Raw genomic sequence first — 19,187 nt, 5'->3', positions numbered from 1 at the left:
CTTAGATAACACTTCAAAGGAAGCTTGCTTCACCACACAGGGTTGGAGCAGAGTGGAGGGGCTGAACACAGGTCAGTCTCATTGCCCCTAGTGCTTTTCTTTAAAAATCCACAAAAGCTGGTCCTGAATAAATCTGAAATGAGCAAGGTCCACTATTGGCAGTGATTAATCTGTTCTTTCGAGCATTCTTCTTGGTGTTTTCCTCTACTTTGCCTGCATAAGTGAGGGGGATTTTGTTGTTGTTTAATAACAACTCATGGTATTTGTCTCCTTGTGGAAGAATTCATTTTAACAAGCTACCTTAAAGATCTTCCCTCTTTCTCTCTGGCGCGCGCGCGCACACACACACACACACACACACACACACACACACACGCAAACATGGCCTTTAAAATTCATAAGAAATTAGTTCTACCGATGGTGATGGGTAACAAGAGAGATACTTTGGTAGAGCATACCTACTCTCAAGATAGATCCCATCAACATAGATGCCCAGAGCAAGAGAATTTTACCTAGTCTGAATAATCAGTTTAAAGTGCCTTTCTTAGATCCTCACAGAAAACAAAAATAGTGTTTTCATAATAAGAAGAGAGAATAAAACCAGGGCAGTAAGTCAACATGCCAGGAAAAAAATCTGAAAGTTGTAGATATTAGAGCTGTTCCATCTTGAGAAACTTGAAGGGAAAAACAATACCTAGCACCCAGACATATTAAATGAAACCCTATGTCACTGTGTACAAAACTGAGGGAACCATATTTTGTCTATTTTTTAGTTGTTTACTAAAGCAAGTTTTAAGCGTAGTTTATTCTCCATTACTTGAGGTAGATATTCAATATTGTTCTCTTCTGTCCTGAAATTGCTTTATTTGTAAGTAGCATTCAATTTACTTCAAAAATTATTGAACATCTGCTGTGGATCAGGCACTATACTAGGCAATGGGAACACAACAATGAACTGAGCTTAGGACCAGCTCTCAAAGTCTCAAGGACAAATGTAAGTAGTGAATGGTCTTAAATGTGATGTTAAGCTGACATGTGTATTTATTTTCTAGAGAAGAGACTGTGGGGATGAGGAGAGGAGGAGGTAAGCATAGGCAGAAGCCATAGATTTAGGCATCATTCAGGCCTGAAGAACTGTAAATGATATGACTCTTTTGAATTCACACTGAACCAGGTTCTAAAAAGATTATTACAACAATAAGCTATAATAGCAAAAATATGAACAAGGAGCCATCAATAAAGTCCATGCTAATTGAACATTGGGATAAAGTCTAGAATACAGATTTAGAGGAAAAGAGTGAATACATCAATAGGCCAGCCATGTAAGAAGTTACTCAAAAGTAAAGAAATTTTAAAAATGAATTATGAACAATGCAATCAAGCTATTTAAAGACATCCCACAGGATTATCTGTGGGTCGGCATCAGAGGGAATGCTATACTCCTCAGTCTAAATCTCTAGGGCACATCTGATGGGAATATTCCAGTGAGACCAATGTCACCCAGGACACAAAACAGAAGAACACAAAGATGATAACACTGACTAAGGGAGAAGAGAAGTTATTACAACAATCTTTGATTTCACATAACAAATACGGCATATCAGAGCCAATCCATATAAACTACAACAAAAGTTGTCTCCTGTTCATGAATGACCAGAGAAAAATCACTTAGAGTAATCCACAGTCACTATGTATTACCTATGCATAAAATGGCAGGTAAGAGATAAAAATAGATGTTATTAGCATATAATTAATTTAACATGTTTATAGTACTTTTAAGCAAAAGAAAAGTGTTACTTTTAAAAACTTTAAAATATTCACTTGTTAATATTCATAGCTACCTTATAAAGTAGATACTGTTACCTCCATGTTACAAATGAATAAACTGAGGCACAGAGAAATCCACAGAAATTCCCAAGTCCAAAAGGCCAGTTAGTGGTAGATCCAGGATTGGAACCCAAGCGGTTTAGTTGCAAAGTCCCTGTGCTTTATCACTGTGCATTCTACCTCACGTGCTGTCTTAGTCTGTTCTGTGTTGCTATAACAGAATACTACAGACTAGGTAATTTATAATGGACAGAAATTTATTTGGCTCACAGTTCTGGAAGCTGGGAAGTTCAAGAGCATTAAAAGTAATACTTTTACTTTGCTTAAAAGTACTACAAACATGTTAAATTAATTATATGCTAATAACGTCTATTTTTATCTCTTACCTGCCATTTTATGCATAGCTAATGCATAGTGACTATGGATTACTATGCTCTTGGACTTCCCAGGGTCTGGCAGGGGTCTTTGCACTTCATCATCAAGGTGGAAGGGCAAAAGAGGGTGAGGGTGAACAAGCAAGAAGGGATCGACATTACTTTTTTTTTTTTTTAGATGGAGTTTTACTCTTGTTGCCCAGGCTGGAGTGCAATGGCGTGATCTTGGCTCACCGCAACCTCTGCCTCCTGGGTTCCAGCAATTCTTCTGCCTCAGCCTCCCAAATAGCTGGGACTACAGGCATGCGCCACCATGCCCAGCTAATTTTATATTTTTAGTATAGACGTGGTTTCTCCATGTTGGTCAGGCTGGTCTTGAACTCCCGACCTCAGGTGATCCACCCACCTTGGCCTCCCAAAGTGCTGGGATTTCAGGCATGAGGCACCACGCCCAGCCTTGACCTTGCTTTTATAACCAACCCATGCTCACAATAACTAATCCACTCCCACAACAATAACATCAGTCCAAGCATTAAAGCAGCACCTACATGACCTAATCATCTTTTATGAGGCCCCACCTCCCAACACTGTTGCATTGGCAATTAAGTTTGCAACATGTGAACTTTGGGGGACACATTCAAACCATAGCACATGGTCCCTTATCAGTGTGAATATGAGAAGAACTTAGTGGTATCCCTTGTGTACTGCCCATAAAAGATACTGTAATGAAAAAAGAGAATTGCAATAATGTAAATATCACCCCCTATTGAGAGAGCTTTCCATATCCAGTACCATGTATACATTCATTCACTTTTTTCCTAAAATGTGATACATATATTCTGTACATATGAAGATTTTAGGTGATATATCAATGAACTTTTATTTGATTTTAATGTATGTGGCAGATGATATTGTATATCAACTCAACTGTTATTTCAGTCCCCTTGTAGTTGCCTTCCTTTACTATAGAAGTTGGAAATGCAAACAGGACTCCCTGGAATCTCCTGCATCTATGGTACAAGCATGTGACCTAAGTTTTTTCAAACAGGCATGTCTTCACAAAATTTCAAAGTGAAAATGAACAATGTAATCTGACAGCCAAGAGTGGGAGTTCAGATTTTCTCACAAGGGTTAGGAGTTGAAGGCCCTTCTGAGGCAGCTGTGATGGGGCTACCATGGTGCTGCTACTCAAGCTCTGTAGTTTAGGGAATTTTCCTGGCTGTGTGCTTCTCACCTGCCACACCTCCGGCATTATTGCACCCAAGCCTGATTCTCTGGACCTTTCAGAAATTACAGCCATTATATAACATCCTTTAATAAAAATTCTTCCTTCTTTAATTAGCCAGAGTAGATTCTACTGTTGGCAACTAATTATCTTTATTTAGATAATATATATTTCACATGCATACATATGTATATGGCTAGCATATCAAACCCTATGATTTCACAAAAATCATGCTTTGCATGAAGCTAATATTAAAAAGTAGCCAATTTAAAGAATACTATTCAGGTAATATACGAATATGTTGAAAATTGTGAAGAAGTAAGTGAATGACTGGAATCTTAAAAATGGCATTAATTCCTCAAACTCCTCAGTAAGAAAAAAGTATAATTTCCACAATTCTACATATAAATACACTGAAGTTTAGAGAGGTCTGGTAACCTGCCCACCTTTACACACTAGGAAGCATTCAGACCTGTCTCAGTCAGTGTCACATATGTGTAGTACCACACTCCCTTTTAATTATAATTCACAAATAAAATTGATAAAATATTAGGGCTTAAACCTTTGTCTCCATGTGTTTGATTAGTTCATGTCAGTCCTGAGAATACTGATAATCACTGAGGGCACTGGCAACACACGTTTCTGGACCTGCAAAACAAGAACCAGCTCCCGCTCTGTGAGGGGTTCACCAACTTCACTGGTGGGGGCCTTGCCTGACAGCTAACTAGTCTCTGGAAGAGACAGCCCGGGAAGCTTTTTCAGAGGAGATGTGTGGACTAGCTCTTGAAGGAATAATGCGCATTAATGCAATGGAGGAAAACAAAGATAAAGAATAGCTCAGGTAAAGGCATGGCTCGTTGAAAAAATATTAAGTAATGGAGTGTAGCTGAAACATCAAAAACATGCTAGTTGGGCAGTGAAAGAATGCTGGGGAGCAGCAGGGGTCCTGCCCCCTCCTGGGGAGTTAGGACTGAAGCCAGGGACATAGGCCTCAGAGAGGAGGAACTGGCAAGACTGGCAGAGAAACCAGTTAAGAGACAATTACTTTAGTCCAGGGATGAGACAGTCGAGACAGTTGCTCTCAACTATCAGAGCAAGACAAGATAGGGGAAAAGCAATGGTCGTGCACACTGTTAAGATAAAAGATTGAATCAGATTGCTTTTCCACACATTTCAGCAGTAACATAGTGAAAATAAAAGGTATCTGGATGCGATGTAAAATGTTTGAGCTGTCTTCCCAGAAATGAATGCATATAAGAAAAGTGAGATATATTCATATATTATACCTTCAATAATTCTACAGATAGTCAGTGCAGTTGTAATAAAATGTCCTCTTACCTGTATCCTTGCATTCCCATCAACAGCTGGGACATGCATTATCACCGGCACTCCCTTTGTTCCATCTCTAACCTTTAGCTGAGATTAACTAAGGAAGAGATGACAGTTGTGTTGGGATTGGGATCATTGTGGTGGGCAGAGGAGAATTAGGTGGCCATGCTTGATGCTGAGAGTAGTCCACAGCCAAAGGCATTTTAAGACCTGTAGAGGCAGGACTGGAAAATCATAGGTAGTCAACGGGCCTTTCAGAACAAGCTTTATTAACTTTGAGACTTTCGTCCTATACCTGGAAAAAGATATTGCTGGTGATAGATGTGGCCAGTCTGGAAACCCACAGTAATTTAGAGAAAAGGAAAATAAGGTTACCTTATAATCTTATTAGCAAGAAAAAAAAATATCCTGAGCCCCAAATGGTTTAAAAGGCTTAGAAATCTATAGTTGAAGGCTTAAAGCCTTCAACAGTATTTACTAAAAAAACTGGAGATGTTGCTGGCACAAGTGCCTTTAAGAGGGAAAAATCATTAGTTCTCCATTACCATAAAAAATGAGAGGCAAAAGGATGCATGCTATTTTTTTTCTGATGGAGGGTGGTAGTGAACATAATCCCAGTAAAGCAAGACTAAGTCAGGCAGGGAAGGAGAGCAAACATAAGGAGTAAGTAAGTGAGCTGGCAAACGCTTCCCCAAAGCCAGGGCTGGCTGCTCAGTCTTCTCAGGCCATCACCAGGTACACTGTACAAACTCCTACATCTTGGCATCATCTATAGTTGGAAGAAGAAAAGCAAGCAATTGGCAGGGTGCGGTGGCTCACGCCTGTAATCCCAGCACATTGGGAGGCCGAGGCTGGCAGATCACTTGGGGTCAGGAGTTCGAGGCCAGCCTGTACAACGTAGTGAAACCCCGTCTCTACTAAAAATACAAAAATTAGCCAGGCGTGGTTGGCAGGCACTTGTAATCCCAGCTACTCAGAAGGCTGAAGCAGGAGAATCGGTTGAATCTGGATGGTGGAGGTTCCAGTGAGCTGAGATCCCACCACTGCACTCCAGCCTGGGCAACAGAAAAAGACTCCATCAAAAGAAAAGAAAAAGAAAAAGAAAAAGAAAGGAAAAGAGAGAAAAGAGAAAAGCAAAAGCAAAGAAAAGCAAGCAATTTGACCACTGTCTCTTCCTCTCCTATCTTTCCTTGGTCAATGTCTACTCCATGATGCATTAAGTTCACTACACTGTGAATTATTTTCCCTGGACCCTCTGGGAAGCACTGGGAGAGGCAGAGCTTCTGCAGCAGAGATAGGAGCAGGTGCAGAAGTCACCTTATCAGTGAGTGCTATGTGTGAGGACTCTGAAATGTATGCCCCAGAACATGAGAGCAGCCTGAGCTTTTTACCCATGGAAACAGTATAAACTGTCACTTGGGCAGCTGTGGCTGTGAATGTGAGGCCAAGGTGTAGACAGGGCTAAGCTGATCTGAAATAGTGAATAAACAGGGGCTGGTACAACTACAGACCATGTGTGGCCATAAAATTTGTATGTGGCCATACATTTTCAATTAACTCCAAATTTCTTCCATACCTTAGAAGCTCAAAGTTGAATTTCTGCCCAAGTCTGTTTTCTAAACAGGGCAAATGAGTTTATGAAATATTCAGAAATTTATTTAATAATTATGTTCCAAGGACTATTGACCTCTAACCTTGAGGCTAAGAATATCTGTTATAGAAAAGTATTTGTTAGAATATTTGGTGTAGAAATTAATTTTTTCACTTAAACTTGTAAACTACTCTAGTTATAGGAGGTTAAATGCACTTACCAGTCTTGTGGTAATTAATCATCAACCATGACTTCTGCGACTTTGTTATAATATTCCCTTATTGGGAACATATCTAAAAGCCTCCCTCCTGGAAAAATTAGTTGTTAGTAAAATAAACAGGTGATTCCTTCCATTTTATTTTAAAGTAAACATCTCATTCTTCCAAACTGCTAAAAAAACTTCATATAATATGTCTGATTAATGATCTGAGGGGGTAAAACTCTATATATGTATGAATGGGAAATTTTAGAATAGTCATTAATATTATGCAAGTGAAGGCTAACAATATAGAGAGTTGTTCTCAAATTAAATTGGAGCAAATGAAACAGAAATCAAATTCTATCGACAGTATACACAGACCCCTGTGGGAGGAGTGGGGTATGAATACACACACACCAAAGATAAAACAAATCATCACAAATTTATGGATGCTTTTGCCTAATCCCTCACATATTTCCATTCCTTCCAAATTTTCTATATTTATATTAATTTCTAATCACAAAGTTATAATTTTATAATTCTGACTAGAATCTTAAAAGGAATAAAAATACCAAATTTAGCTATGATAGGTATTTAAAAACAAAATATTTAATAATTTAAACAGAAATTGAATCACTTATATCCCATTAGATTAAAGATGCATAGACAAAGGGATTTGGTTTGCTTAAAGGAATTATCTCATACTACAGAGACAAAACCAGGAAAGCTTGTTGAAAATGTAGCTTCATTTCATCAGTTTCAACTGAGCCAGTCTGGGGTGAGACCAGAAATCTGCATTTTATCAGGTTGCCAGGTGATTTCAATGCAGCTGGTTGGAGCCACACTTAGATAAATTCTGGTCAAAAGGGAAGCTCAAAGCATTCACACTTCAGAGACTCTCCATATGCCATCTAGGAACAATATTGCTCTGGCCCAAAAATTCCCAATTATCTGGTCCCTGTGGCAGATCCTACTGTGGACCATGACACTGTCTTCTCTTTTTTCTGATCCATCTTCATTTAGCACATTTCTTATGACTGGTTTTCCCTGTGGTTTACCTAAGTGGGGAAAATGAATTGTTCTGTCAACACTGGCAGCTGAAGTTGTTTGAATGTCCTTACTGTGAAATAATAAATTGATATTCAGTTTATATATCAGTCTCCCTGAGCTCAGTTATGTGAGTCTACTCCCTGAAACTTGGGTCCATTTACAGATAGTCATGTGAGATCTCAAAACTTGAATCATAGCCAGGCACGGTGGCTCACGCCTGTAATCCCAGCACTTTGGGAGGCCAAAGTGGGCAGACCACGAGGTCAAGAGATTGAGACCATCCTGGCCAACATGATGAAACCCCATCTCTACTAAAACACACAAAAATTAGCTGGGCGTGGTGGCGTGCGCCTGTAGTCCCAGCTACTTGGGAGGCTGAGGCAGCAGGATCGCTTGAACCCAGGAGGCAGAGGTTGCAGTGAGCCGAGATCACGCCACTGCACTCCAGCCTGGCAACAGAGACAGAGCGAGATTTCGTCTCAAAAAAGAAAAGAAAAAAAAGAAAAACACTTGAATCTTTCAGCTGGAAGCTGGTGAGCCCCTTTCCCACAGTAGTGTGTATCCGTTGTTACTGCCATCCCGGCATTCATTCACGTTTTTCTGATACAGCATTTTTAATTTCCCCAAGGGAATTGCTCTCAGATTCCTCCCAAATCTGCAAATGACAACTTACTCTAGGCCTGTCCATTTAAACTCAACCCTAGGGTTTTGCCTAAAGTAAAACTATGCCAAGAGGTAAAGCTTGTATCTGTTGGTTTTTATCATGGAGCCACAAGAGCAAAATGTGCCTAAGAACAAAGCCATCATAAACAAAAGAAAGACAAAGAGATGGGGATAAAATTAGAGACAGAGAAAGAGAGAAAGTTCTTTATGACACCATTGCTTAAATCCTGAATACATCTGGTCCTATCCCATGGCCTTTGTGCTACACGAGCTAACCCAAGTTGATTGCTGAGAAACCAATGCAAACAACTTTTTTCCAGAAAGATTAAGCTCTGAACAGGAAATCTTCCAATATGTTAAATAGACTTTTGATTCTCTTAAATTATGACTCCTACAGTCAGGTTCAGACTGGATTGCAAAATGTAATGATAGTCATATAAAGCCACTGATATTTAGGAACCACCCAGTCTCATGAAATAACTAAACATGGCATAATGTTTATACAACCAAAATTGTTTTCCCCATTGCAAAAAAAAAAAAAAAAAAAAAAAAAAAAAAAAAAAACCTGCATAGGAGAATAGCTAAAAGCTCTTAGCAACAACTCACTGGTATCTTGCTTCTTTTTGGAAGATATAAAGCATGCACACTCCACTCTATACCAGGAAAGACTTGGCTCTGTAAAATAGTAAAATAAGAACCAAATCCTTGGAGCTGCAGATGAAAGCAGAGCTTTCATCTACTACTTATCACTTTTGCAAATGTCCACAGAAAGTGTTTAGTTTGGTGTGATTATCAGAAGGGAAAAGACCAGTCAAGACTAATATTGCATTTATGTTGATACTAAGCATATGGCTGAGATTCTCTCAGCCTTAGAATGTAGCTTATAAAAGCAGTATCAAAATAAGGCACACCTACAGTGTTTCAGCAAAAACCAATAAATAAATTTAAAGCACACAAAAAAATCATTCACCTCAGAATTCCTCAACTTCTTTTCTGTGTCTCTTGGTAAGCACCTCATGTACACATAGGTGCCCTTCCACTTTTGGACTTGGGTAAAACAACATATTGTGTGGCATGGTGCCTGGATTTCCAAGTAGCCACTGAGAAGCCAGATGTGGAGTTAGCTTCCCATGGGGTAAAACTTCATCAATAGGAAATGAAACAGGAGAGAGCTAGAAAGCTAAGTTCCTCTTTTGTCTTCTCTCCTATGAACTACTCCAAGGGATAGTTCCTCTTCGCAATCCAAATATCAAGTGCATACACTATGTCACTCTACAAGTGACACTGGTAGAGGTGACGCTACAAGTGACACCACTCACTTGTAGTGTGACATAGTGTATCCATCCCAGCTTGTTATTTAACAGTAGCCAGTGTGGGAATACATGGTATCACATCACATCAAATTTTATCTTGTCTTGTTCATCCTGATTCTCTGGGGTTGAACAGCCCCACAAAAACTAACAGCACCCTAAGCATTGTGCCTTGGGCTCTGATCTCTGGATGATACAAGGGAAAGACTGTTGAAGCTACCACATCTTTGTTCACTATCACTAATAATTTTATTAATGAAATTAATAACAATGTTTCCCTTCTAATATACAGTAACACAGGGTTAGTTTGGCTTTCCACTTTGAGCTGAAGATGATAAAACATTCCTTGTTTTTACAGGAACTTTCAAAATGCCCCCTTTATATTACCCCAGGAAGTGCAAGGAATCCACTTGTGTTTCAGTGATATATTGTTCCATAACATGCTACCCAAAGCTAAATGACCTAAGTCAATAATGGAGAAAGACCTTTCCTGCATAGTTCTGCTCTTGGTAGCATTAGCTGGGGTCACTCGCCGGGTTAGATTTAGCTACTGACTGGGCTGGGATAGAAGGTCTAAGAGAGCTTCCCTCACACATCTGATGTCTCAATGCTGTCTCACATGGTGGCTCTCCCCACAAGGCTAGCTGGAGCTTCCTCACAGCACTGTGGACTTTGAATGGTTCTCCCTCTAGCATGGAGACTGGCTTCCCAGGAGGACACAAAAACCACCATCCTCTTAAGGCCTGGGCTCAGAAGCCTCAGAATGTCACTTTCACTGAGTTTTATTGTTCAAAGCAAGTCACAAAAGCAGCAGGACCCAAAGGGATGGGAAATAAACCCTACCTCTTGATGAGATGAACAGTGTGTCTGCACAAAGTGAGAGGCACTAGTAGCTGCCATCTTTGGAGACTATGTACCATGGGGGTTCCTAAATGTGTCTACATGTTAGAATCATCTGGGGATCTTTTTAAAACTATAAGCATCCAGGCCACTCCCCAAGCCAATTAATTCACAATCTCTGGGAGTAGAACACAAGCATTTCGTTAAGCTCTCCAGGTGATTCCAATCTGCGGACAAGTCTGGGAATCCCTGATCCACCATAAGTTGTGAGAAAAGAGATTTAGAAAAACTGAAGGCTCTAGCTGGCATTGCCTCTGTTACATGTGGTTACCTGTCATTTCACAGTATGCTCAATGGCTTGTCTTAAAACACACCAGGAGTTTAAAAGTTAGACTACACACCAATCACTTTAAATTACATTAAAGCTGCCATAGTAAACTAGCTTAGTATGCCTTTTAGGGTGACCAACTTTCCAGTTTGTCTGGGACTGAGTGGTTTCCTAGGACACAAGACTTTCAGTGCTAAAATCAGGATGGTCTGGGTCAAACTGGTGCAGCTGGTCAGCCTAGCATTGCCTTATCTCCCTCTGGTGGACTAGTCATGTTCTGATGAATTTTATTTCTGAAATGCAGTTCCATTATCCTCACCTGAGTCTTCTCAAAATTAGCTATCTAGGCCAGTGCTGCCTGAAGTATGTTCCACAGACTTGCAGCATCAGCATCACCTGGGAGCCTTTGTTAGAAATGGAAATTTGGAGGGGGGGTGGTTCTCTAGACACTGAGTCAGAATCTCTGGGAGTGGGACCCAGAAATCTGTGTTTTGAAAACCATGAATTTAAGAAGCACTGATCTGGGCTGCCATGCTTTCATCTTCCTCTGTCTCTACTATCCCACATATGGCAAAATCATATTTCTGTATTGCAACAGGCATATAAAAAGCATAGCAGGATGAGTCAATCAATGCTGACTGGCCAGAGATGCCCTGTCAAAGAGCAGCCTCAGCTGCAGACACATACATGATAATCATCATCTGGGGCTTAGTTTTTGTCAGTCATTTGTCTGAGGGGCTGCATGAAACTTTTTTACATCCACAGTAGGGGCTAGAGTGTGGAATGAGGGAGGAGCTGAGCACAGCTGCCTGCAGTTGCTAAGGCCTGTCTCTTTCAGGACACACTAAAACTGTCAATACAAGTGAGCAAATTTTTCTCTGACATGGAAAGAAAAAACTCTTCCTTAAAGTTAAGCAGAAAATCAAGCTTTATCTTTGACTGGATGCTTGATTTTTAATGGGAATTTATAGCAAAAATCATTCAGGTTTCAGTAATTTGGAAATCATGCTCTTTTGAATTAGCTTGGAATGAAGTTTACCTAAGTGCAATGAAGAGTTCTGTCTAGCAAATTAGTATCCTAACATTTTAACTGCCTTAAAAGAAAAACAGGGTTTTTTTAAGGACTTACCTGTTTATATTCAATGGATGTTAATAACTACATGTGAGGTCTTATACATGAAAGAAGAGACTAATGCAAAACACTTTTTAAGTATAATAACGCATGAATTGGAAGTAAAACAAAGATATTTATTAAAACACACACACCGTAATTGAGACTTTTTGCTAATTCAGACTGTTCTCCCTGCATATAGGACAAATTTCTTACTAGGATTTCTTCACCAGTCAATTAACATGTAACTTGATCCCTAGTACACTGAAGCAAATGAAAATTAAAAGGCCCTCTTCAAAACTCACTTTTCATAAACTTTGGCTCTTATTTCTCATGTGTTTCACAAACCTCATATTTAAAGTCGAAGAAAATGATCAGTAAACCTATTTTTCTCCTACATAAGACAATATAATCAAAGTTATTGTGGTAACAGGTCTGTGGAGGTAGGGTGCTCTTTCAGTACTTCTGAACCACTACAGCCAAAATCATCCTCTTGCTGCACTGCATGTCTGGCAGGAGGTCTTTGCGCTGCCCTGCCCAGATATTCTGTGGGCAGCAGAAATACTTACTGTAATAGTATCTTACACAAAGATAAAAACACAGAAGTAGATTAGGTAAATACATGTTGTTCTGGGCAACAAACTCATTTTCCCACATTATAACTACGTGACAAGTCTGTGAAGTTTACTTTCCTTGACTAAATTTTATAAAAAAAAAAAAAGAACCCATATATCTTAAATAAATAACCATAAGCAAATTTTAATCAATGATGTATTCTGTATGAGAAGATGTCTAAATATTTGATAAATGACCAATTACAGTTGGTCATCTTTGGGGAAATGTAAATAAGTCATTCAGTTTTTAAGGAGGATAAAGTGATTCCTGTATTTTTTCTCTAGTCAAGAAAAACATCCAGTTGACTGGACAAGCTTCGTAAAACTGTGCTATCTGAAGGTTCTTCTACCAGATCCTCCACTTCCCAGTTGCACAAGCATAGACAATCAACCTAATGTCTATCACCAATCCCTCTTCCCAGGGAAACCATCATGGTCCTCACCTGGGCTTTGCCTCCAGGCCAGTGCTAAAATTGAGTCCCAGAGATCAGAATGGTTGCACAAACCCACCTGAATGCAAGAGTTGTCCATGTATCTACAGAAAACAAAGGTCCCAACAGGGAAGCTAAACTTGGCCATCAAACCCAAGCAATGAACTCACAGAATCAAACCCCATGCCCACAAAGGTGGCAAACTAGATCCCTGAATGGGAACAGTGTACAAAAGGGCTGGAAGGACAAATCATGGCAGTGTCCTGCATGAGACACTTTTGCCTTCGTTATAGAGGCATCTGCTCAATGGAGTCTTAGATTTCATTTATAAAATGGGTGTAGTATCTCTACCTATCTCATAAAGTTGTGAAAATCAAATGAAATAATTAAAAGTAAACATTATTTGTAAACTGTAAATATATGTGCAAATACAAGGGACCACCATATTACTATATTCACACCATTCTTCTCAGCAGTAGTGGGGGTGGGGAGGTAGCGTCTTGGAGTTGGGGTACTAGGAGTGATCCCATGAATGTGTATTTGCAATTGTCTGTTTATTTGTCTGTCCCCCTGGCCAATAACTAGACTGTGATTTCCTTGAAAGCAGAGACTGTGTCTTAGTCATCACTGCATCCCCATTTGCATAGTAAGACATTCAATCACTGTTTATGGAATGTTGAATGAATAAATTCTGAATCCTCACTATTATTCAGACTCCCAGCTGCCCATGAATTATGTGCAATGGAATACTATGTAGCATAATGTGAGAAATGGAACAGCAAATGCCCAAGTGCCCAGGAATAGTTCCCCATCTGCCTAAAATGGCTACTACTCCACTGCCAGAGCACTGGCCCTACTGAGTAAGGAGGCTGAATTCTCAGAATTAGAAGCATTACTTGAAGTTGGTCAACAAAGACAGCATTGACAATTAAATGGCTTGGAAAATAATAATAGCTGAATTTCCACTGTGCCCTTCTTACATGCCAGGCACTACACTAGAAACTTCACATCCTTATCTTATTTAAAACTCACAACTACACTATACAGTAGGTTTTGTTATTATCCACATTTTACAGATAAATAAATAGTCTCTAAGAGATTGTGACCTAACCAAGCCACATATGGTAGAGCCAGAATGGAACTGCAGGTCTATTATATCCCAAAGCCTACATTGTTAAGCAATGCCATACTCAGCTGTCTGAGGAAAGGGAGGTCCTTGTGACTTTATCATTAGTGAGAATGGGATGGTCTCATCTTGATCACCTCAAAGCCAAGCAAAAAAAATTCTTCATTTTCCCTCACTCCCTTCCTTCCTTCCTTGCACCCTTTCACAATTGCTGCTCACACACCGTATGTCAGGCACTGTGCCAGGCACTAAGGTACACCAGTAAATAAGGGACATAAGGGATCCATTTGAGGAAAGAACAGAGATAAGTAAAGAGATGTGAACTGCAACGAGAGGGTGGAGGCTGACAAAATAAATGTCCCCAAGGGCATGGGATGTGGTGGCATGGGAGAACCATGCCAAGCCCAAATGTAGCAGGGCAGGGCCAGCTGCCCAATCCCAGTACCAAGAGGGCATTGCAGAGGTATTGGAAACCCACATGCAGGCTAAGTGCTGCATACTCATAGCAGCATGATGGGATGTGATATCTGGTATGGGAATGCCTTAGCAACCATTTTCTAAATGAGATTTCACAAGGGACAACACACAGCCTGAGGTACTGTGGGGCTAGGGCTGTTAGGGACTGTTTCGGCCAGTGCCGAGCTAATTACCTGGTGACTGTCAAAAATGTCTGCAATACACTGGCCTTTAAACCAAATCTCATGGCTCCACTTGTACCAACAGCCTGATCCTTTCATTCACCCACTTCAGTCCTATCTTCTCTCAATGATTTCACTGTCTCCCATCACCCATGAGGTCAGCCATATTCTTAGTTGTGACCCTGTTTCTGGCTCAACACTCTTTCCTCTTCCTTGTTTGACCTTCAGGGGCTCTCCTGGCCATCCTGTGTCTTCACTGTCTAGTCCCTGCCATTTCTGGCTTCTCAGAGTAGCTCTGGGGTCTCGTAAAGGGCTCGCACTACCATTAGACTTGCCTCAGCCCAAAGAGGGATTGAAAACAACACAGCCTCAGCCTTCAGACACCAGCAGCATCAGAAACCTGGGCTAGTTACCCACCTTCCCTTTGTTTATGCATCCTTCTGTCATCTATTCAACAAATATTTACTGATAACCTATTATTCCTTATACTTTGCTAGGGGAAAAAACACATAATTTCTCTGCCCCAAAGGAATTCACAATCTGACAATGACAACTAAGTAGAGAACTTGAACTATATCACCTATATGCTCATACTTCCCACATTTATGACTCTTGCCCTAAAATCTCCCTCAAGCTTCATACTCATGTCTCACTATCTGACATTTGTACTTGGCTGTATGATAGCATTTTAAAAATAATATGATATGTCCAAAATATGATTTCTTTGAACGTGAATCTTCCCTGCTCTTTCTCTTCTTTGTACACAGCACCACTATCCTTGCAGTTAAATAAAAATCCAGGAATTTCTTTTGTTTCCTCTCTTTCCCTTAATAACCCTTATATCTAATCCATCACCCAAACCTTGTCCATTCTGCCCTCAATTGTGTCCTGAATCTATCCACTTCTCCTCAAGTCTATGCCCACCACCCAGATGCACCAACAGGCTATTGCTGGCCTGCAGAGCTCTCTGTGCAATTTGAAAAATATGCCCTTCCTCCAGGCTTTCACAGCCTGGCACTGGGACATTTCCTGGCAAGAGGAACATGGGCTGAATTTCAGCAACTTGACCCCCCGAGCTGGTCTCCTGCGCAGTAAGTAACCTGCAGAAACACAGTCACGTCCTGCCATCAGCTTCTCTCCTCTACCATTGCAGAGGCCTCCCAAATGCCCCTCCGATAGTCCAGTCTCCACGCAGCTCCACAATGGTCTTTTAAAATCTTAAACCCAATCACATCTCTTCACTGCTTAAAACTTTTCCACCCTTTACCTTGACCTGCAAAGCCCTGCAGGATCTGGTCCCAGTCCACCTCTCTAATCTGCTGACCCACTGCGTCACTCTAGGCTGCTTTTCTCTTCCTTAAAAACATCAAACTTCTTTCTCCTGGTAGAGCCCTCCCCCTGACAAAAGTGTCTGCATTCCTTTCTTTCCTGTTTCCACTTAGGACCACAGTACATAGAACTGAGTTCATCTTAATACGTGGTCCACCATACACTTTCATCATTAGCCCAAGCATGCCCTGTCATACTTTGTTATTTACTCGTTATTTTTAATAACGTAACAAGCATACCTGGCCTTACCAGCCAAAACTCAATTGTGACCTGCCAAAACACAGTCACTGACTTGCCTCTAACTAACCATATGGTGCCTCTGTTTCTCCTCCATCTGAGGTAACCATAATCACAAAATCACAAATTTCATATTCATCATTCTCTTGCTTTCCCATTTATATAACGTTATTGCAGACATACACACATACACACACACACACACCCCTACCTAGTTGGGTTTTTATTTTAGTAGTTTTTAATATTATGCTATTATTGAGCTTGTATTCATCACTAGCTCAAGGTGCCAGGCCTTGGTGGTCCCTCCAGGTTTTCATTATTGAAACCAGGCTGTTAAGCATATTCACATGCATGTCTTCTGTCGAACATGTAAAAAGTTTCTCACAGGTATAAACCTAAAAGCAAGTTGAACTGTTGGTTCACACATGTTCAAATGTTGAAATTAGGATATAACATCAAACTGTTTTCCAAAGTCATTGTACGATTCATACTCCCATCAGCAATGTTTGAACATCCTTTGGACCCACATCTTCTTCAACCACTTGATATTGCCAAACTTTTTAATTTGGGGCCAACCAAATGCATATAAAAGAATATCTCAATGTGGACTTAATTTGCATTTCCATGATTACTAAAGGTAACAACCATCACTTCATACATTCATTGGCTATTTGTCTTTCTTCTCAGTTCTTCAGGGTCTCAGTCTGAATGTCACTACCACCAAGAGAACTTCCCTGTCCACTCACCATATGAAGGTAACCAGTCTAGCACATTACTCTGTTCTCTTTTCTTTATAGTATCTACCACTACCTGAAATTATATAGTTTGTTTATTGATACATAGTCTGTCTCCCTCAACTGAAATACAAGCTCCAAGGATCTTGGTTGCCTTGTCCACTGTTGCATCTCCTAGCACAGCACCTGGCACAGAGGGAATGGATGAATATGTGAGTGACAGAGATATGTAATGTATGAAGAGCTCTGTTCTAGACTCAGATGCTGAGCTTCAATCTCGGTTCCCCCACTTACTAACTGTATGATTATGAATAAATTACTTAATCATCTGTTTCTGAGTTACCCCATCTGTAAAAAAGACATAATAGTACTCCTTACTCTGTGGGGTAGTTATGAGGTTTAAATGAGTTAGTATTTGTAAAGTTCTTAGAACAATACCACAAACACAGCAGGTGTTCAATAAATGTGTTGTTAGTATTATTTATGTGTGATTTTTGTTTTAACTACCCATGGCTTGAGGGCATAAAGGCACCAAACCAACCTGAACCTAGTGAGTTTCCTCCTTCCTGCAAGCTCTGCATCCTCTGGTCTTGCAGATGCGCATTCCCACACCCTAGAGAAAGAAGAAGAGGAGGTAGGACAAAGTTCTTGGGGCAATTTATTTTCTAGAAAACAGTCTGGTCACCCCCAGCTTGAAGAAGTTGAACAGCAGCACAGAGTAGGTGCTCAACAAAACCAAATCAATAACTCATAAACCATCAATCCATATACCCTATAACCTCAGCATTACACAGAAAAATCACAACCTTCTGCCCTCTCTCCCTTCATTTGGTTCATATTTTCATAGACAGGAAAAAGAAGTTCCAAAGAGGGATGGCAAAATAAATAAAAGATTGGATAAGGAAAAGAGGAGAGCCGAGAAAGAGGACAAGGGGGGAAGGATGGAAGACGGAAGGGAGGATAGGGAACTTCAGGTCGCGCTGTGACATGGCCTCTAGTGCAGAACTCTCAAATGCTGAATATAGCCTAAGGGAGTCACCCACCCAGGAGAATGTTTCTTTTTAAGGTATGAGTGGGTGCTGGAGAAAAGTAAGCAAGAGGGAGGGGAGGAGTGAAAGCCCAGGCAAACTTCACTTTAGTATCCTCCCTAGGGGAGGCTGGTCCCCATTAAATCTGTGGCCCTAGTCAATGTCACCTTAGTCGCGACCTTACCTCGTTCTGCAACCAGGAGTCCCGCTCCATTTGAAGCTCAAATTTGCCTCAAAGCGGTAAATGCGGCCTTGGTGAAATGCGCCAGTGGACAAAGCTGAAGATCGAGTCCACTGAGAATTCCGGCAGGTTCACCGGGAGAAACTGTTTCCATCTGAGAAGAATCAGGAGTCCTAGCCAGGACCATCTGCCTCTCGGGCGTCAAATTCCGTGCCTGCTTGCGGCCCGGGAGAGCGCCCCCGGCTCCCCAGCTTCGGGGAGCAGAGAGCCAGCCGGAGAGCTCCGGGGCGCGGGCGCGGGCGAGCCAGGCCCCCGCTGCCCACTCGCTGCTGATTGGGGTCCAACTTTTGGGCGCCCAGCTCCCACCTGGCTGCCCCTGCTTCGGTACTGACTGTGCTAAATATTGAACCGAATCCCAGGCGCCCCGCCGGGACTGGGGACTCCCTCCTTCTTGAGTCCTTGGCTGGCAGGAGCGAGTCCTGCAGGCGGGGGCCCGAATGCTCAGGGTATCGCCGACCTTGAGGCTACCGAGGGGTGTGCATGCGCCAAAAATAAACGCGCGCGCGCACACACACACCGTTTCCATTTGATACTTCCCTCCCCAAGAAAGTAACAGTCCTTAAGCAGCATGCGGCACTGGGGAGGGAACGCCGCTCAAGGGTGAAAACCAACATGATTCCCAAAACCAAATTTGGGGATGATTTTAATTTTAGGTTTGGATTTATGCCTATCGAAGGTTAAAAAAAAAGATATGGAACAAATTCCATCGTGTGTGTGTATTCTAAGGCCGAATTTCGGGTGTTAACCGGGGGGAGCTGCAGAGGAAAGACAGGGAGGGAGAGAAATCGCAGACTATGTATCGTTCCAGTACAAGGTTAGAAACGTGCCTTGATTCCCATTTCCAGCGTGGTCTCCATCACGCCCTCCCCGGCTGCCGCAGGAGCTGCCCGGCGTCGCACGGGTTAAGGCCGCGCGCCCGCCAGCCGGCTTCCCCCGGCGTAGAACGCGCCGCGGCGGCGGAG

The 19,187-nt window shown here is 41.4% G+C and overlaps 1 protein-coding gene across 3 annotated transcripts in view; it reads right to left on the bottom strand.

Moving 5' to 3' along the window:
* Window positions 1-18,691, bottom strand: part of KCNN2 (potassium calcium-activated channel subfamily N member 2) — a 440,519-nt gene extending 421,828 nt beyond the window's left edge. For all 3 annotated transcript variants that reach the window (XM_047417166.1, NM_001372233.1, XM_011543389.2), the window contains exons 1-2: window positions 18,169-18,691; window positions 17,498-17,569 (exon numbers count right to left, since the gene is read on the bottom strand). The gene's annotated coding sequence lies outside the window, so the exon portion shown is untranslated. The remainder of the gene's footprint in view (window positions 1-17,497; window positions 17,570-18,168) is intronic.
* Between the last annotated feature and the right edge of the window lie 496 nt (window positions 18,692-19,187).

This window comes from Homo sapiens, chromosome 5 (genome assembly GCF_000001405.40).
Source record: "Homo sapiens chromosome 5, GRCh38.p14 Primary Assembly".
Lineage (NCBI taxonomy): Eukaryota > Metazoa > Chordata > Mammalia > Primates > Hominidae > Homo > Homo sapiens.
Note: the sequence above shows the minus strand (reverse complement) of the source record. Positions and strands in the feature narration are given on the sequence as shown.